General features: G+C 50.6%; 2 protein-coding genes across 4 annotated transcripts, besides 4 other annotated features; one reads left to right on the forward strand and one right to left on the reverse strand.

Annotated features, from left to right (window-relative positions):
- Window positions 1-302: 302 nt before the first annotated feature.
- EVX2 (even-skipped homeobox 2) lies at window positions 303-6793 on the reverse strand. Its single transcript, NM_001080458.2, has 3 exons — window positions 6181-6793; window positions 5009-5280; window positions 303-3669 (listed from the first exon to the last, which is right to left on the reverse strand). The coding sequence occupies exons 1-3, from the start codon at window positions 6605-6607 to the stop codon at window positions 2938-2940; spliced, it is 1431 nt and encodes a 476-aa protein (NP_001073927.1). The 5' UTR covers window positions 6608-6793; the 3' UTR covers window positions 303-2937.
- Window positions 1746-2387: an enhancer, noted in NCBI's record as "H3K4me1 hESC enhancer chr2:176943643-176944284 (GRCh37/hg19 assembly coordinates)". NCBI's record gives its function as "activates a minimal SCP1, AML or CMV promoter by ChIP-STARR-seq in primed H9 embryonic stem cells {active_cell/tissue: H9 hESC(primed)}" and the evidence as "EXISTENCE:reporter gene assay evidence [ECO:0000049][PMID:30033119]".
- Window positions 5552-6167: an enhancer, noted in NCBI's record as "H3K27ac-H3K4me1 hESC enhancer chr2:176947449-176948064 (GRCh37/hg19 assembly coordinates)". NCBI's record gives its function as "activates a minimal SCP1, AML or CMV promoter by ChIP-STARR-seq in naive H9 embryonic stem cells {active_cell/tissue: H9 hESC(naive)}" and the evidence as "EXISTENCE:reporter gene assay evidence [ECO:0000049][PMID:30033119]".
- Window positions 7716-7825: a mitotic recombination region, noted in NCBI's record as "NUP98-HOXD13 recombination region recombines with the NUP98 intron 12 (HOXD13) recombination sub-region of the nucleoporin 98kDa recombination region". NCBI's record gives the evidence for it as "EXISTENCE:nucleotide sequencing assay evidence [ECO:0000219][PMID:10995009]".
- Window positions 8618-9442: an enhancer, noted in NCBI's record as "H3K4me1 hESC enhancer chr2:176950515-176951339 (GRCh37/hg19 assembly coordinates)". NCBI's record gives its function as "activates a minimal SCP1, AML or CMV promoter by ChIP-STARR-seq in naive H9 embryonic stem cells {active_cell/tissue: H9 hESC(naive)}" and the evidence as "EXISTENCE:reporter gene assay evidence [ECO:0000049][PMID:30033119]".
- On the forward strand, window positions 10318-18775 carry HOXD13 (homeobox D13). 3 transcript variants are annotated; one of them, XM_011511068.3, is made up of 2 exons: window positions 10318-11496; window positions 17311-18775. In XM_011511068.3, the coding sequence occupies exons 1-2, from the start codon at window positions 10773-10775 to the stop codon at window positions 17559-17561; spliced, it is 975 nt and encodes a 324-aa protein (XP_011509370.1). In that variant the 5' UTR covers window positions 10318-10772; the 3' UTR covers window positions 17562-18775. The 3 variants fall into 3 exon arrangements, with proteins under 3 accessions (XP_011509370.1, XP_011509371.1, NP_000514.2); XM_011511069.3 differs by lacking the exon at window positions 17311-18775 and adding an exon at window positions 12448-13441; NM_000523.4 differs by lacking the exon at window positions 10318-11496 and adding an exon at window positions 15552-16502.

A 19566-nucleotide genomic window follows, 5' to 3' on the forward strand; every position in this document is an offset into this window, starting at 1 on the left:
TATATATATGACGGCACGTCCTCTACCATGTGTATCGACACACACACTACTCCTAAACACTCTTATCTGTTTAGCCAGCCAATTAACGTTAAACCAATGTTTGGAAGAGTGCATGTCTCCTATAAACATGAGTAATGTATTTGCCATAAAAATAATGATTAGAATGAATTAATCCATCTGATATGTGTATTATATGGATTTAAACATGTTGTTTTAAGAGATTCTCATAACCCTGGATGCCACAGTTAAAAACGAACACTAGCACAAACCATTTTGCAATCTCTTAAACAAATAAAACTGCCTTGATTTAAATAACATTTATTTTACATGACCAAACACAATAAATAACGTAATATACAAGGCTTTATAATTATTGCACATTTGTAAAATATCTTACAGTGAGTTCATACATCCAGCAATATTTAAAGCACGAAGACTTTATTTACAATTTTATTTCAATATAATAACCAGATCCAATGGACCCAACAAATGATGAATTTATGTTAATTTTACCAACCAGCGTTCTCATCAATCATATATATTTTTTGGGGGAAATGTAAACATTACTGCCTAAAGTACCTTATATACATCTGTTAGCTGATCATAACAAAGGACTTTAACAATCTAAATAGGTAAAGCTGATAAAGGGTACCATATTTTGGTTTATTTTATTTAGCCTTAAATTATATATTAATATTTTTAAAAATGTAAACTCAGTGAATAAGAGCTGGTATAATCAATATTTTACATAAGTAGTCTCATGTTTTTAAAAACAAAAACAAAAACTTAAGTTTTAGATCATTGCTATTTCATTGGAAAGTTCTCTAATATTTTATGGTAATATTTTAATAGACCCCAGGAATTTCGAAATACTGTTTCCCCTTTATGTATTTTCCATTTGATGGAAATAATTTCTCCTGGAAAACTAATTCTTTCAAAAGTTTACTGAAAGCCTATATTTAGGAAATGATATTTTAAAATCCAGTGTCTTTAAAATAACAATATGATGGCAGGACACAAATCTGAAATAAACCACAGAAAATAGTGCCAATGTGTATGTATACATGAATATGTGTGTATCTCTTACATATGTATTTAAGAGCACGGATATATATATGCATATACATACATATACATATATATACACATACACAAACACATGTAGGTAGCCTACCTACATTTTAATACACGTACACACACATACCCACTTCGCTGGGTCTAAACATGCACTAGCAAGTTATTTTAGGGCTTCAACTCTTCAGAAAATCTCATTATGTGAGGAGCCAAGTGGCTCTGCGGGGAGCATTATGGAAATATCTGGGCTTGATTTAATGAGGCTGTTCACACTGGTGGAATATCAACTTAACAGAGAAAAGTCTACCCAGGGCGTCCAAGTTACCAAAATGAAAATCGGCAATTGAGATGATAAGAACGTGGCTTTCTTCTGCGAAATCACTTCAGGTAACAGAGATAACATTAAATAACATACATTCTATGCACCAAGAACAATGTTTTATGTACCGAGTCTCTTATCCGTCTCTCCTAATGACTTCCCTTAGCGGGTTGTTAGTACTTGACAGCAGGTCTCCGTGCGGGGAACTTTTCTCCAATTCCACATTCAAAGGAGGTCCATCAGAGAGCATGATTGGCAATTTTCGTCATAATCTGCACATTATTAGCATCAAACTTGACGTGGCAGTTAACACTAGTGGGTTTTGATGTACCTTTCTTCAAGTTCAAGGAAACCCCTCCAGTAGCCGGGTTGGCAGAGCGGGTCTCAGCAACCCAGCGGTGGCTTTGCAGAGGCGAAGGCGCAATAGACATGCGTGAGAAATATGCCAAGAACCATTTCACCCGAGGAAAAGGAAAGCGAGGAGAGAAGGGGACGAGGGACATAGAGAGTTCTAACTTAGAAAAGTGTCTAAGGAAATGCTTTAGGATAATATTAATATATCTAGAGATTCAAGTATTTCCCAGATCGAGTGGAACCCGGTAGTTGGAAAACTGAGCTGAAAACGCCTCTCCAAATACTACAGCGATCTATCAGTCTTACCCCTACCCCAACTCCCTTCCTTTCCCTTCCCTGGCCGTGGCAACCTCTTTTGCCATCACTTTTTGCATAAAATATGCAAGATGCTTCCATTCCATCAGCACTGAAACCAAAGACCAAAAGAGAGAAAGGTGTTGGACCGAAAAGGAGGCGGCGCAACGGCCACCCCTTCCAGCACCTCGGCTTTGTCCTTCCCGGGGAAGGCGGCCACATCCCTACCCGCCTTGCTCCTGAACGTAGTAAACAATCTCACAAACAACCACCGCTGCCCACGCTCTCCATCCGTCCTCCCGGCCTTATCAGACCTCCGTTCTCCCGCACTCTTCGGGCAGGGTCCCTAATAAGCTCAGGCTGAAAGAACGTTTGCCACCTCCCCCACCCTCGTTGAAAGAAAAGGAAGAAAAACAGCAGCAGCGAGAAACCTCCGGGGCGACTCCTCCCCCGCCCCCAAGCACCAGCGCACAGCATCCCCCTCTGTCTTTGTTGTGGTTCTCCGTTGCTTCGGGCCACGCCGTTCAGCCAAGCAACCCGGACCTGAGAGTGCACAGCCAGGACTAGCTTAGGGGGCGAGGGGTTGGTCTTTGGGAAACCAAGCGCTCAGGACAGAGGTGGAAAGTGGGTCCCGGGAGCCAGAAAAGAGAGAGAAGGGCAGACGGCTGGGTGGCAAATACAAAAATAGAAATAATTTAGGGGGATGCCCGCCAGGCTTTTGCGCCTGCTCCTTCTCCCCCAATTCGGAGCAGGTTCCCTTCGGCCTCCCGCGCCCCGGGGCGCCCCCTGGCGGCAGCGGCAGCAGCGGGCAACGCGCGGAGGGCTCAGGGGGCGCACAGGGGACTCCCGGGCACACTCAGAGAGGCGGGCGCGGCCCCCTGGCGGTGGCGACGTAGTTATCTGGTGAGCGGAGCCTCGTCCCTCTGGTCCGGCGGGCTCACGGCCGTCTTACTAAGCACCGCGGCCGAGTAGGGCAGGAAGCCGCTCTCGGAACGCGGCGCCGCCGCGCTGCAGCCGAAGTCCGAGCCTCCCCCGGCCCCGGCGCCCCCGCCGCCGCCGCCACCACCACCACCGCCGCCGCCACCGCCACCCCGGGAACCCAGGGCTGCGGCAGCTGCTGCCGCGGCTGCCGCCGCCGACTGACTGCTGTGGCAACTGAGGCACGAGCAGGGTGCAGAGCCGCCGCTGGGGGGCGCGCCGGCCGCCGCCGCCGAGGAGGCCGCAGCCGCTGCGGCTGCCGCGGCTGCCGCGGCAGAGGCCGCGCTGTTGAGCCCCGCGGCGGCCGCGGGAGCCTGGTAGAGACCAGGGTGGCGGAAGCTACACAGCAGCTCCGGCCGAGAGTAGGGGTGCGAGAGGGCGCGGAAGGTGTCCAGTGGCCGGATGGAAGTAGCGAAGGGCGACGAAGCCGCGGCCGCCGCGCCTGAGGCTGCAGCCGCGGCCGCCGCCGCCGTGACGCCCACGTGCGGGTAGTAGTGCAGCGGCACGTGCGAGTGGAAGGGGTAGGGCAGGCTTCCGGTGGCGGCCGCGTGCGTCATCATGTAGGTGTAGAAGCTGGGGTCGGCTGGGTGCGGCCAGGACATGGCCAGGCGCTGCCGCTTGTCCTTCATGCGCCGGTTCTGGAACCACACCTGCGGGGAGAGACGCGCCGCAGCCTGGGTTAGGGAGCGCCCCGTGTTCCCAGCTCCTGTCCCAGGACCTCTGCCCCTTCCGGACCTCTGAATGGCTTGGTCTACTTCTCTCCGACCAAGCCCAACCCCGAGTACCCTGTGGTCTCCCAGCTGGGAAAGTGTGGACGGCAGTGTGTGGACCGCCGTGGGCACACCGTCCTCAACGAAGAGGGTCCTCTCCCCCGCGTCCGGCTGCTGCTGCTCCTCAGGCTTTTATTCCCTTACTTCTTGCTGCACTTTTTTGTCCCAATCCAACCTTTCCTCTCCCTCCCGCCACCCACCAGTGCCGGTCTCGCTGAGCACCCGTCTCTCAATCCCAGGATTTGTACGGGGATTCTGGGCAGCCTTTGAAGAGAGGCTGCCGCTCAGCTTTTCTGAGAGGTCGCCGCGCGAAGTCTTGAGCCCTCCGAACTGCAAGGACCTGCCCCTAGGGGCACGGGTCCGATTTTGATATTGAAGGGATGATTTTGTTGGAATCGTTTGCCTTAAATGAGTGGGTAGAGCAATGTCTCCATAAACGGGGAAGGGGACGTTTCCACCCCTCCCAACACTATCTAATAAAGACATCATTCGTCACAACTCTAAATTAAAGAAAGCCCGATCAAACCAGAGGGAGACTTCCACACTCCTCCCCTACCCCGTGGAGATTTTTTCTTTTTTCTGCAGTGTCGAACGCTCCATGAAGGGCTCACCAAATCGCCTAACCTCCCGGCTATCTCTCCCAGACGTATAATAAAATTAATAACCTAAAGTTATATATAAATAAGGACAATTTCGTTGCATTTTTCCCCGCAGGAGGTTGCCCTTTTTTCGTTGCCCAAGAGGAAAATGTTCAGGAAACTACTGTCTCAAACCAATCGATTTTAAAGATACAGTATCCTTTTCTCCGTGTAACGATTTATGCGGAAAATAAATCTCCAAGCTCAAGAGCAAATGAAAAGTTTCACCTCTGGTTCCTGCTTGAGGAACAAAGACCAACTGGGCTTGCCGCCTAGGGGAAAGTGGGGCCGTGGGTATGGGCGAGGGGGCATCTGGCCAGGCGTTGGGCACAATGGAGCAGGGGCGAGTGCTTTCAGCATTGGAGTCACCATTCGGGGGCCTTCTTAGATCCGTCAGGCCGGACAACCGTTCGGATTCGGTGGCCGGGAAATAAATAAGCCAATTCCTTTGGTGACTACCCCCCGCGGATTTCCAGACCCTTAGCTAAATCTAGCCACCCAGAAAGGGGAAAGGGGAAAAAGAAACAATCAACCCAGATGCCCCCGGGGAGGCCAGAGCAGGCATGCACTGGAATTGATACCTTGATGGTGGTTTCGGGCAGGTTGAGTGCCGCGGCCAGCTCGCACCGGCGGGGCCGCGACACATAGTTCTCCCGGTAGAACTCCTTCTCCAGGCGCGCGATCTGCTCGCGGGTGAACGCCGTACGGTAGCGCCGCACTTGATCCGCGCCAGAGCCGGAGCCACCCAGCGCCGCGCTCCCGCCGCTGCCTCCGCTGCCTCCATGCAGGCTTCCGAGGCCTGAGCCCGACGCCGACGTCGTGGTGCCGGCAGCCGAGCCGCTCTCTGCGTACCCTGGCAAACAAACGACCAACAGCGCATGAGTGGCTGTAGGACCAACAGCCCGGCGCTGGCGCTGCGCGCGGATCGGGGAAGCCCCGTCAGGAAGGAGAGTCGCTGCCGGAATTGATGGGGTCTGTCATGCTTACAAATTGCTGCCGTTAATGGAATCAATAAAGTTTGGGGAGCCCTTCATAAGCAAATAATAGAAACGGAATTAGGAGATTTCTTTTTTAATAATTAGAAATTTTCAACCAAGGAGGAAAAGTGGCCGAGGGAAAATGCCTACCTCTGGGCGCAGTTTGGGAAGCTCTGGGTTTCCCATGGTCTGGAGACCGCAGGGCAGCTTTTTATACGGCCTCTAACCTTTATCTGAGTCTTCGGGGTTTCAAATATTTTAAGAGTTCCAACACAGCAGTAGCTCAAACCCAAGCCAATAGGGGGTGAAATATACTTTTCAACTCTTTCTCCCGCTGACCTAAACAGAGACGCCGGCGAGGCTTCCTCCGACTTACCCAGAAGAATGCCCCCTCCAGCCCTGAGGGCACAGGGGCAGGGGAGTTCAGAGTAGTTGCCCAGGGTACCTTTCCCAAAAGCAACTCGGCTGCTGACTAGGGGTCTACCGGCTCGCTCGGGCTCTTAGACACGAGCGCAGAAACATTTTCTCGGACTCAGGAGCGAGGGCGGGTGGGCCTGGTGTTCCAGGCTCCGCAGGCCTGAGCCTGGCGGGAAAGCTCAAGGAGCAGAACTGGAAGGCACGGTCCCAGACATGCGTCCCGCCCCCGCCCGTGCTAGCTCGGTGTAGCTTGCCTGTGGAGGGTCTGAGAGGGGAAAAGGCACCGGGAAAGGCTGGCGGGGGCCGCGGAGGAGCAAAGAGGATGGGACTGGAGAGCGCGGTGCGGCCGGCGCGGTTACCTTTGCCATTGTTTTCCTTAAGCTGAGCGGCGCCGAGGCCCCCGGGGGAGCGAAGCGCGGAGCAGCCCACCTCCACGTCGCTGCTCATGTCGGCCTCAGCGGCCGCCTCTGAATAATGGCCCGGCTTCTTGCGGCTCTCGGCGGCGGAGGAGATTTCGGAGGAGACGGTGCTTTCGCTGCCCGTGTGCTGCAGGTTGAACAAAGTGTCTATTTCGAATTTGCCCTTGGCGGGGAGTTCTCCCAGAGCGCTGTGCAGGGGGGCAGACGGCAGGCGCGGGCTTAGGCGAGCCGGGTGCTGCGAATTTTCCAGGGCCTCGAGCACAGCATTGCCAGCCGAGTTGGACAAATTGGAGAATCTCTTGCCCGCCGTAGGGCTGTGCAGCCCTCTCTCCATCAGAATCATCTCTTTTCTTATTCTTTCCATCATCTCAGCTTTCTTAAAAATGTCACAGTGGCCCTGCTGTCCCGTCCTAATGATAGGCTGCGCCTAGGGCTAATTCTCATTCAGCCCCAGCGAACGCCTCTAAATATTATTATCGCTTTCGGAGGGAGGCGGAAAAATTGTGGGATGCCAGAGCGAGGGAATGACTGGTCAAAATGACCCATACATCCTTCCGATCCCGAGATGTCATTCATCAAAAAGTAGCGCCCGCTCGTCATTAAGGTACGAATGACGCTGTTCGAATAATCATTTATTGTAACAGGTTTATAAGCAAATAAATACACCCTCCTGTCAGTGGGTAATGAAGGCAGCTTCAGAGCAGACAAATAGATCCAGGTAGGAGGCGAGAAGAGACAAGTGAGGAGGAAGGCTCCGGTCCTTTGCCCGCTCCGAGCCAGTTCTGCTCGCCCGGGGGTTTGGCCTCGGGGGTGAAATTGACAGTCTGATTAATAGAGCGCGCCGCGGCACATTTCCCCCTTCATTTAGGGGCATCATTACGCTCTCAGTTTGCTAGGTTGCCCCTTAGGTCCTAATCATGCAGCGCCTTCTTCATTTTTCCTTGGACACAGATACGTATTAAATAATAGATAATGGTTTGACTTTCCAGAGTAGGTCCTCGGGAAGGTTTGGTTTTTTTTTTTTTTTTTTTTTTTTTTTTTACCATTTACAAGCTGGGGGCATAAGTGGGGGGAGATAAGGGGGAGGATGCAGGAAGAGTTGCGTAAGGAGAAGACCTTGCGCCTCTCCTATCTGGATTACTTATCTTTCGGATTTCGGAACCAAATATGTATTTTATTTAACAAATAGGACGCCGGAGTTCTTTCCCTCCCTATTTCTTCACCTCAGCCTAAATGCTCTCCTCCCACCCCGGGAGAGAGAGAGAGCGGAAGAGAGGGAGAGAGGGAGAGAGGGAGAAAGGGAGAGGGAGACGGAGTGAGAGAAAGAGAGAGAGAGAGAGAGAGAGAAATAGAAATATCCTAGAGTTTTGAAAGCGCTTTCTTGCTACGTGGCCGCGGAGGTGCATTGGGCCCGCGCCTCCAAACGGAAATCATTAGGTCCTCTCTGATTTTCTAACACCGTCTGCAGAGTGAGATCTGAACTCGAAGTCCCCGGTTTTTTACTTTTATAATCCTGCTGATAGAAAGCCTTCTCGCCTACGCATTTTCCTGAGGGGAAACGAACTAGGCTGGACGATTTGATAGCAGAATTCGACAGCTAACTTTAAACACAGTGGAGATTTACAGCGCCATACGGGCGCTCCGAATCCACGCTCACGTTGCCAGATTTTCCCCTCCCTCCTCAAATAGAATTATTTGCGGCAAAGGCGCTGGATTTCGAGGTCAAAAGAGGAAAGAGGAGACAGCCTTCTTCCCCTACCTCCCCGCTGCCCTCCCTTCCCCTTTGCTTTTCTTCCTTCTCTCTTTCCTCCCCTCATCAACCCCAGCCCCTTACCTGCGGCCACAGGTATTCCCAGCGTTGGGTCCGGGCGCAGAGAGTCGCCGAACAGCCTTACAGCAGCTCTCTGCGGCCTGGGCTTGGAGGCTGAGCCTCTTGGCGACAACTTTGATAGTCATAATGACGCCGGTGGCAACCATTTTAACGAAGATCAATCTTCACTCCAGGCCGCTCCTCATCTCCCGCGGTTGCGCCCACCCTTCCCTGACCCTCCAAGCACTGTGCCCACCCGCCAACGGCCCAGCCGGAGAGAGATTCGCGGACACAGGCGGAGGCGAGGGAGGACGGGGATGGGACGCGGAGGTCCGCCCGTGAGCTTCTGAAGCGGCTGAGAGACCCTGACAATCTGGGCGCTGGGCGCGGGTCCTGCATCCCCACATTTAGCCTCAATCCGAACCCCAACCAGGGCCCCCTCTTCTTTCTGCCGACACACCCAGAACATTGGGGTGTGTTAGGGGGCAAGCTCGAGATCTATTCGCCTATAGCTCTTGGCGCTTTCCTTTTAACCTTAGACCCGTTGGGGGCGCATCAGGAATGTAAGGGGAAGCGAGGTGTGAAGTATATTTATATACATATATACACACATATAGTCAATGCCAAAAGTTTATCTTCTGTTCCCCTCGGCGCCAACTTATTTCAACAACGCGAGCTTTGCTTAGAAAATCAATTCCACATCTTTAAGGTAATAAACGGAAAGCTCGATAGGCAGGCGGTGCCTGGGGGAACGGGGAACCGGCGGGGAACGCAGAGTGGGCATCCAGCGCACCGGGACTGGGACTTGACCCAGCGTCCACCTCTGCCCCTGCCCCATTGGCCACCCAGCTCCGAGCTCCCTGAGTTCTCATTGCGCCGGCTTTGGGGCCATCAGCGCGGTGGGAGTCCAGCCCTGCCAACGCCCCCACCTGCTCCCTCCCTGCTCCGCAGCCCGGATGCCCAATTCTGCCATGCCTGGCAGTCGCTGCTCCTGTGACCCAGGAAGGGTCCCCCTACCCAGTCCTCGCTTGCTCCAGGGACTGAATGGGACACCTTGGTTCAGGCTCGGGTCGTGCTGGGGTGGTGGGGGTGGGAAGTGGTGCGAGACCCTGGCGGGAGTGTGGGTGAACCGAGGCACTGCTTGGGTGGAAATCCGTGGATGCCTTTATTGCTGTCGTTTGGCGCCCCCATCTGTTTTCCTCGCGGTTTCGGCTGCTGTGAGTTGGTTTTCAAGTCGGAGACGCAGTCACTGGGGACTAAGGTGAGGACTGACGACCCCTTCCTCTATCACTCAGCCCGAGGCTCTCCCACATCTTCCCTTCCTCTGGGACCCGACGCCTCTGGTCCCAAAGGCTGCGCCAAACCGGACCTCAGTCTGTCGAAAGGGAAAACACTATTTCTCAGCAGCACCTTCATTCATTAGTGGCTTTGAAAACTATTTTTGCACCTTTTAAATGACACTGATAGTGCATTTCTAGCACGTTTATTACAAAAAACATGTCAGAGACATGTCAGCGAAACTACTCACAGTAAAAGACACCTATAATGTTTCCACTAAACTGGGTGTAGCAGGCAATAATGTTTCATGAGGTACAGTGACCATTCCATTCCAATATTTAATGTCCCTTAATTTATTTAGAGATTCCACGCCCACTAGTAGTAATATTGGCTAACTTATACAAAACTCTTACTTTGCAATTCCAAGTGCTTTTTACATGTTATCTCAGCTAAGGTTCACAGTAACTCTGTGAGATTTAAACTATTATCCCTTTTCCAGAGATTATGAGCCAGAGGGGTTCAGGGACTTGTGATTTAAACTTATCTCCGATGATAAAGTCAAAAGTGTTGTTTAAAGCCTTGGGCAGCATTTTTTAGGTTAATTCTCTCATTTTGCATATGCCTTATGTAAATACAGGCCTACCTCAAAAACATTGAACCTATATAGAGGGTAGTAAGAAGAGTGCAGTTCTGTTGATTTGTGTGTGTATTTTGTTGTAGTTGTTGTTGGTGGTGGTTTTTGTTTGTTTTGTTTGTTTGTTTGTCTGTTTGTTTTTGAGACAGAGTCTCACACCGTTGCCCAGGCTGGAGTGCAATGGCAAGATCTCAGCTCACCGCAACCTCCGCCTCCCGGGTTCAAGCGATTTTCCTGCCTCAGCCTCCTGAGCAGCTGGGATTACAGGCATACGCCACCACGCCCGGCTAATTTTTGTAGTTTTAGTAGAGACAGGATTTCACCAAGTTGGCCGGGCTGGTCTCGAACTCCTACCTCAGGTGATCCGCCTGTCTCGACCTTCCAAAGTGCTGGGATTATAGGCGTGAGCCACTGCGCCCCTCCCTGTTGATGCTTTTTGATGAAATACCCAAACTTGCACGTCTCCCAGAATGTGAAGGCCAAGGCTGGGAACAGGCCTGTCAAATGTTCCGGGTGGTTTGATGCAGCCTCTGTGACCGTCAAGGCCTCTTACCCACTACCAAGGTACAGAACCCACTAGATAAAACAAGTCAAGAATCCAACCCAAGCCCGCATGCTTTGGCAGAAATTTTTAAGATGGGGTGGGGAGTACAGGAAGGACTTCCTTCGCATGGACTGAAAAGCCCTTTTTGTTCTAAAGGAGTAATGACTTTGAAGAGGCCTAATTTTTTGGTTAGGTTTCCAGACTAAATATTTGTTTCTTGAGCAGCAGCGGGTCCTCTGAGGTGAAGTGGTAAACACTTTTGGCCTATGACTGCAGGTAATAAAAATCTGTCCGGGCTGCCCGAGGGGAGGGGCGCCGGTAAAGCCGTAGCTGCAGCGAAGCCCCGCGTCTGCCGCTGCCGGAGCCTGGCTCTCCTCTTACGCGGGGGGCTGCGGGCAATTGGGGCCGACAACTTGCGGTCCCGCCTTGGGACGCATGCTTGCTCGAGAGCTGGGGCTGCAGGGTGCAGTGGGACAGTAGGACCGCGAAAGCCTGGGCTTCGAGCCTCGGGCTCCCTGTCTTCAGGCGAAGTGCGGTTTCCACGGGTGCAGGTTTCGCTGCATAAGGGAAGACTCAGATTTCGAGCCCTCGGCAGGCCAGCTTCTAGCTCTCTGTCCCTTCCGGGTCTCTCCGGTTGCTTCTGTCTTTCCTCCTCCCACTCCCGTCGCAATCCCGCGCCCCACGGAGGAAGGTCGTGGTGCGGGAGTTGGGGGATACTTTCTTCCTGGGCTCGGTCTACGCAGACCCATCGCCTGCCTCGAGTTCCTGTGCCCTCAGACGCCACGGGAAAACTTGCAGGGACATCTAGCGCCAGGCGTGGGGAACTGCGCGCCGCCGGGCCGGGAAGTGGAGCCGAACACTGCCCCTCCGCCTCCCTTTCGGCTCCCCCCTTCGTGCTTGGGCACTTTCCTCACCTTCATCCCTTTGCCCTGCCGGTAAGGACAATGTGGATTCCCCATAGAGACAATGGACTCTGCGGAATGGAGATAGGTAGGTAGACAGACATTTTCTTTTATCTCAAGCTACCGACAGAGTGAGAATTTACTGGACTTCCCAGTAGTTTTGCTAGGGAAGTGTATTCCAAGGACAACCCCTCACCTTGAAATGTCGGATAAAACTTCAGCAAATTAGGGTCCCAGCTTTTATTTTCCAAAAAAAGGCAACAAGTTACTCTGGGCCTCTGGCTCCTGCCCCACCCTCCTGCGTCCCTTTCACAGTGAGATTAGTGCTTCTCTTCAAAGGAAAGAATCCTCACTGTGTTTAATTTTTTCCAAGGCTGGAGAAGTTCTCTCCATCCCAAAGAAGGGCCCGCTGTCCTGCATGAGGCAAACCTGGTTCCACCAAATAATGTTTCTGATTTGGAGGGGGTTTGGAACTGTTGTTGCTGCAAACGATTTTCATTTGATAAAGCCTAATCGTGTTGTGAAACCCAAACGGAATATGTCTCAAAGGTAGAAAGTACTCAAATGTGGCTTCCACTGTCTAGCTGTTGCTAGGGTCCCCTTTTTTCACAATAGGTTTGGTTTGTTGTTGTTGTTGTTGTTGTTGTTTCTTTTGATATCTCCAGGCTGAGTAAAACTGGGTGTTGCCTGGAGAGGGAAAATTAGCTCCAAAGTTGGCAGAACACAGATTTGGTTAAGAACACTGTCCAGCCACTTCTGCTAGACTTAAGATTTTACTTTGGAATTAAGACTCTATTTCTACACCAAATATTTGGCTTCTTACAAGTTAATTAGGAGGGTGTCCTGCACTTCCTGATCTTGGCCATCAAGACAAGTGCTTTCAAAGGAGTCCCCAGGACCCCACTCTGATAGAATCCTGTGATCCTGGCCTTAATGGCCACTGATTATGTGGTTAATTGAGCTCATTGCTGTCTTGGCAAGCAGAGCAACTTCAATAAATCTAAATCACAGCCTGTATCTGCCCATTCCCCCAAACCAGGACAAGAGCAAAATTTGAAAGATCATCTACTAGGTTGAAAGGAGAGAATATGACTTCCAGAACAGCACTGATGCTTAAAAAGGATGCCTCTGGAAGAAAAGGAGGAAGAGGAGCAAGTGATGGGAGAATACAGTGGGACTTTGGGCACCATAGGGTCATCCTGAGTTTTTCACCAAAATCAGGAACAGCGGCAAAACTGGTTTCACTGAAGAAGACACACGTTTGGAGACATGTGTAGTCTCCAAGGATTCTCACTTAACAAAGCCTATTTCTGTTGTTAAAAACCCCTGCATAATGCACCCACACACAAACACAAGGCTTGGTCTGTGTTCCTGGCCACCTAAAGAAACTGATTCCCAGTAAGTTTAAACCTGAATGAAATGTTTCTGCAAATTCAGCCTCAAAATTCCTCCTCTACCTGGCATCCCTGGCTTGTAAACTATGTGTCTCATTAGTTCATAAACAAAGCAGCCCTGACTTTGCCTTGTACTCAACCACAGCCCTAGGAGCCAGTAGAATTTGTCCAGAGGTGCTGGGCTTTGGAGCCCAAGTGGACAAAGTCAGACCCCCTTTCCTCAGGGCAAAGCCCTCCCACAGGGCTGGGACCCCAAAGGCTATGCTGGAAGCAGGTTCAGCAGCAGGATATCAAGGGGCAAAGCTCCTAATTCAAAATCTTCCTGGCTTCTGAACAACCATTAGGATGGACAGAGAAAACTTTTGCCCTGCTCTGAGAGGGTCCCACAGGGCTTTTGGAAGCAGAGCCACCATTGAGAAATCCCTTTCAACCTGAGTAGTAATTCAGATTTTTCTCCCACTCCTGCACAACTTAATTTGCTGAATGGAAAATTCAGCCAGAAGTGATGGGCTGCTTGAAATCAACAAAACTTGACACATTCTTCCCATTTTCATTTTACTTTATTGTTAAACACATAATTGATCATTAAAATGTACTTATCAGTGAGAAAATGAAGCAGAAGCCCAAGGCACAAAACCACAGGGATATTTAATTTTAAGAGACTGAAAGTTTGTTGGTTCTACTTATATCTTAGAAATATTTCAACGAATTTGTTTTTTGGAGTCATAAAAAGTTAAAACTATCTTCATGTTTTCTCTGTCTGAGGAAGAAAAAATGAGACAAAGGGAAAATAAAAGCATTTCATGGTGGCCCATGGTTGGTGGTTTGGTACCAAAATTGTTTCATAAAGACCCAGCCAAACCCTCTTTAAAAGTTAGCAATCCTGTCGCCTCGCCACAGTTGGCCTTTTTAAAATGCTGGTTGAACTTTCATTGCTGACTTTTGCCTTCTTTTCCCAAATAGTGAAAAAAATTTTCTCATCAGCAAACTTCTATTCCCTATGATTTCCTGTAAATTCAGGCCCCTCCCATCTCAAATTTGATCATGAACATGTCTAGAACTTCAAAACGATGAAACGAATTCTCTTGCTTTTCCTTTCCAACACCCCTCTCATAACTTTCCCCTTTATTTGAGCCTTTTATGGTTACTGCGTTTTGCATGTCAACACTCCTAACACCAGCAGCCTACCCTGAAATGCCAGGCCAGGCCAAGGAGGGCCTTCCTGGCTCTCTTCCTCATCTTACTCAGGGCATCTTTGGTCGGGGAACAGTGGTGCTGGGTGACAAGCTTTCACCAATCACAGGCTTAGGGGAGTGATTTTCTTGGAGATGGGCTGGCTTGGGGAGTGCATGCCACAGAACCAAATGGGCTCTGAAGGATCCCATATCCACCCCCAGAACCCTGGGCTCATTGGATCTAATATTGTTCCTAAGGCAGAGCCCCAAAGTCACAGCAGGACTCTCATTGGTGCCCCATTAGTTGCTGAGATTGAGGGATGGTGGGCTGGAGCTCTGAGGCTGAGGAGCAACAGAAAGGGATGATGAGGGACAGGGCTGTAATCCCTAACACCCTGGCAGCTTGGTTCCAGAGCTGGACCTAGCCCCACCAGCACTGCCCTGAGCCCACCTAACCCCTTGAAGTCAGACCGTTTCTCTGGGCTGCTCCTATCACAAAATCCGAATTTGCTTGGAACAAGCGCCCTCTTAATTTGCCCCTCTCAGTTCTCTGCAGTTGACAGCTTGGAAAAGGAAGCGAAACAAAGGTCCCTGGGAAAGTGAAGTTTTCAATTAATTTGGTGTGAGAAACGGGCGGGAGTGGGTGGTGACTGCAAAATGCGAGGCCGGTCGGCTGCTGGAGAGACACAGAAGTTTCACGGTGGGAGGCTGAGTGGCTTTCTCCCCCGGCGCCGTTCTCAGGGTCTTTCTGCGGGTCGAAGAAGGACCCGCGGGAGCTGAGAGGCCCAGGTCGGAAGCACTCCCGGCTGGCCCAAGAGTAGAGGCGAAGAGCGTTGAGTAGGCATCCATGGACTTTTCTTTCTGGGACAGATTGTCAGGCTCACTGCGCCGATGCCTGTCTTTCATCTGTTTAAGTCTCTGCCGCCAGCCCCAAGGGCGCTTCATGGGCATTTTCCGAACGGACAGCGTGTGTGTATAGGAAGGGTCTGCTCCAATGCCTCTTACCTGTGTGAAATGCCTTTGCCGGGTACCAGTGCACAAGGTAGGGCAAATTAGCTCACTCGGATTTGGGGTCTAGAAGTCGACTAACTGAGGGATTCAGCAACAGGATAAAAAAATGGGCCTGTTTTCACATCATTCTGATCATCTCTGTCCTTCGTCTTCATTTTGCTGTGCAACTCGGGGAGCCGAGGAGAGGTGGCAAAAACAGCGGTTGCCGAGACAAGGCGCAGGCCTTGGCGCCCGCCTCAGTCGCAGACAGGGCCTGGGATGGGCCGTCGCGCAATCAACTCGTGGGGGTGGCTGCAGCGCGTACGCCTGGGTCGGGGGGGAGGGCGGGAATGGGAGGTGGACCCTGCAAGGGGCAGGAGAGGGGTGGGGGCCGGAGTGGGTGGGTCCAGCCAGGCCTGGGCCGGGAGCCAGGCTCCCCCGCGTTCCTACCCCCACGTGGCCGCGCGCAGCCAATGGCACGCCCCCGGCGGGGGCCCTCGGGGCGGGAGGCGGCCCCCCGACCGGCCCAGGCCCCCTCCCAACCTGAACTTCGTTTTTATAAACGTCCCGCGATGAGCTAACCTGTTGGAGGGCAGGCGGGCCGGAGGCGGGAGGCTCACAGAGGGAGAGAGGGCTAGAGGAAGAGGGCGGGAGCGAGCGAACCAGAGAGAAAGGAGAGGAGGGAGGAGGCGCGCCGCGCCATGGTGTCCTGCGCGGGGCCAGGGCCAGGGCCGGGGCCGGGCCAGGCCGGGCCATGAGCCGCGCCGGGAGCTGGGACATGGACGGGCTGCGGGCAGACGGCGGGGGCGCCGGTGGCGCCCCGGCCTCTTCCTCCTCCTCATCGGTGGCGGCGGCGGCGGCGTCAGGCCAGTGCCGCGGCTTTCTCTCCGCGCCTGTGTTCGCCGGGACGCATTCGGGGCGGGCGGCGGCGGCGGCAGCGGCGGCTGCGGCGGCGGCGGCGGCAGCCTCCGGCTTTGCGTACCCCGGGACCTCTGAGCGCACGGGCTCTTCCTCGTCGTCGTCCTCTTCTGCCGTTGTAGCGGCGCGCCCGGAGGCTCCCCCAGCCAAAGAGTGCCCAGCACCCACGCCTGCAGCGGCCGCTGCAGCGCCCCCGAGCGCTCCAGCGCTGGGCTACGGCTACCACTTCGGCAACGGCTACTACAGCTGCCGTATGTCGCACGGCGTGGGCTTACAGCAGAATGCGCTCAAGTCATCGCCGCACGCCTCGCTGGGAGGCTTTCCCGTGGAGAAGTACATGGACGTGTCAGGCCTGGCGAGCAGCAGCGTACCGGCCAACGAGGTGCCAGCGCGAGCCAAGGAGGTATCCTTCTACCAGGGCTATACGAGCCCTTACCAGCACGTGCCCGGCTATATCGACATGGTGTCCACTTTCGGCTCCGGGGAGCCTCGGCACGAGGCCTACATCTCCATGGAGGGGTACCAGTCCTGGACGCTGGCTAACGGGTGGAACAGCCAGGTGTACTGCACCAAGGACCAGCCACAGGGGTCCCACTTTTGGAAATCTTCCTTTCCAGGTAGGGGCGATGGAGAAAAGGGACCGACACGAGGGAGGGGGAGAGAGAAGGAGAAAAGAAAGGACTAAGAGTATGCGCCCCTACTTGGGAGTGGGAGTTGTGCCTGTGCTCCACACGTGACCAGGGTTAACCCAGTGGAAATTTGTCCAGTTCGTGTGAAATCTGTAAATTCCTCCTCTGATTTCAACTGCCTCCGTCACTGCCCTTTCTTTCCTGTGTGCAGCGCAGACACGTTTTTCTCCTAAAGTTGAGAGTCTCTGCGTGCCCTTTCCTTGGGCCTCTCCCTTTTCTCCTAAAGAGAACTTTTTCCTAAGAAACCTGACAGAGTTGGGTCCCCCCATTTTCAAAGACATCACTGCCCCAAGATGACTACTAAAGCTTGTTAGATCAAGCTCACGAACTCCTAACATAGGAACGCGGGAAATCAAAATTTGAGCAAAAGACCTGAGTTGGTATGTGTCTATGTATGTAAGTTTGTTTTTATACAACCGACATTTGCAGAAACTGTCCTCATGAACGTGCCCAATAACCACACCATAAAATTGCAAGCTTGTTAAGATGCCGGTTTGAGAAACTATGATAATCAATCAAATTAACCATTGTTGTTAAGTGCAAATAATCCTTCTTTAATAACAGGTAAGTGTTATGTCTATGTACATAATAAAGACCAAACAGCATGGCATTTTTTAAAAATTTCCTGCACCCCTGCAAACGCACACACACACACACACACACACACACACACAATCCTCAGCTAGGTGCTCCGAATATCCCAGCCTAATTTTTCTTGTGCTTTTGTTTGTATCAGGGGATGTGGCTCTAAATCAGCCGGACATGTGCGTCTACCGAAGAGGGAGGAAGAAGAGAGTGCCTTACACCAAACTGCAGCTTAAAGAACTGGAGAACGAGTATGCCATTAACAAATTCATTAACAAGGACAAGCGGCGGCGTATCTCGGCTGCTACGAACCTATCTGAGAGACAAGTGACCATTTGGTTTCAGAACCGAAGAGTGAAGGACAAGAAAATTGTCTCCAAGCTCAAAGATACTGTCTCCTGATGTGGTCCAGGTTGGCCACAGACAGCTTAGAAGCCATTCGGTTGTCTCCAAAAGGCCTTTGGAAAGACTTGAATATGTATTTAATTCCCCCCACCCCCTGCCAATGGTGGCAAATTTTGTGAATTGTTTTTCTCTCTTCCCCTTATCTGGCTCTAAAACCTTCTGCTGCCCAACCTGACTTTGTAGTTCTGATTTTTACTTGTTTATTATTGGTTTTGTTCTTGCCTAGGGTTTTTAAAATATCTGTTTTTAATGTTTTGTTTCTCCCTCCAGGCCAGTATAAAGGGACTTGAAGTATTTTTTAATAATCCGCCCCCCAATGAACTTCAGAAGTGCCATTCTGATTTAAGGGTTTTTTTAAAAAATTACTTTATTTGTTCATTCCCAGCACTGATTATCTTCATAATCCATTAGGACAGAATGGTTTTCAGTCGTTCATATCCTGTAATTAGGTAATTGAATCATTAGCTCTCAGCAGTTGCCCTGAGGCAAGTGGAAAGGCAGGCAGTGCTCTGGGGTCACCGAGAAAGTCTAAAAACAGGAGGCTGAAGGTACTGTGATGGCTTTAAAAATGGCCACCTTATTAAATAGGGATTGTATCAATATTGAAATGAAGACAATCTTTCCAACTTTGGGTGTTTCACTTGCTGTTTTAATTGTTTGTTTTTAACACTTTGTAGGTTTGTGTTTTCATAATCTTTAATTTGAAACTCATGTGTCCTCATGGATCGTGGATGCCTTCATTTCTTGAGCTCTCAATGCAGACATTTAAATGGCTGCAATCAGTAGAGTGACCCGCGGATGGCATAAATGCACCTCCTTTTCTTGGCCTTGGATCTATGGGTCTGGGATTGTGGTCATCTCCTCAATCCTCAAAAAGAGGCTGAATCAATGTGGCCGTGGGTGGGAACTTACATACAGAACCCAATGAAGAACTTGACTGTCTAAACAAGGGGGCCTCGCATGGAGCTGTAAAGCATCTAACAAATATGAAAAATGTGAAGTTCCAAGGTCCAAGAAGAAAAATAATGATGTTTCTGAAAGTGATGATAAATAATTACTTTTAAAGTGCTGCATATTTATACAATTGAGAGATTATTTTTGTAAATGCAATGTCTGTGAGCTGGGATACATGGGCAGTGCTTCAGACATTTAAAAATCACTTTTTACTCCTAGGGAGATGCCAATAAACAGAACTCTTTTGTTTCTTCTGAGTCCTTATACATTTGTTTTATTTTTTCAAGTTTGTGTTTCTTCTTGAAACGATTCTTATTTATTACAAAATCTTGGTATCTTGAACACAATTATGTTCTCTATAGATGAAGGAAACTCAACACTAATTCTGGTTTCTGGAACCTTCATGCTCTCCACTTTTGCCCCCCTCCCTCCCTTTTGCCCATGACTTTAACATAAGTAGTGATGTTTTAAAATGAGGATATCATTTACAGTGTTTAAAATGATATTTTATACCAGGCCAGCTCAAAAGACAATAAAATTTTACTTTTCTTTCACTATTGTCAATTTATTTATATAGTTCTATTTATTTTTTAATCCATATGTATTTGTATGCCTGTGCATAGAAAAACTTACTCACTTGAAAATTTTCAACCTGGAAAGACCATTATAAACATCTGGACTAGGAAGGTCTTGAAATTAGAAAGACATACCCATATTTGGCAATCGAAAAAGAAACATTTCAAGCTTATCCCATATCGCCTTCTCCGGGCAGTCTGCACAGAGCAGTTGACAACTGAAAACATAAAACCTAAACTTTCAGACGCAATTTTTAGGCACTAGAATTTTCTGTTTGAGGCCTTTTTGCCACTCAGGGAAATGGCCGATGAGGAACTGGATGACTCCTCATGGTTAGCTCCCCACACAATCAACTCAGTGGTTGCTAAAGTTTTAGTGTGTAAGTTAGTTACATAGTGATATTTAAAACCTCACTTAGTGTGAAAACTCTCCTGGTGGGAGGGCTCCCTCATGACTTTGAGAGAGAAAACGC

The sequence above is a fragment of the Homo sapiens genome, chromosome 2 (assembly GCF_000001405.40).
Source record: "Homo sapiens chromosome 2, GRCh38.p14 Primary Assembly".
NCBI classification, from domain to species: domain Eukaryota; kingdom Metazoa; phylum Chordata; class Mammalia; order Primates; family Hominidae; genus Homo; species Homo sapiens.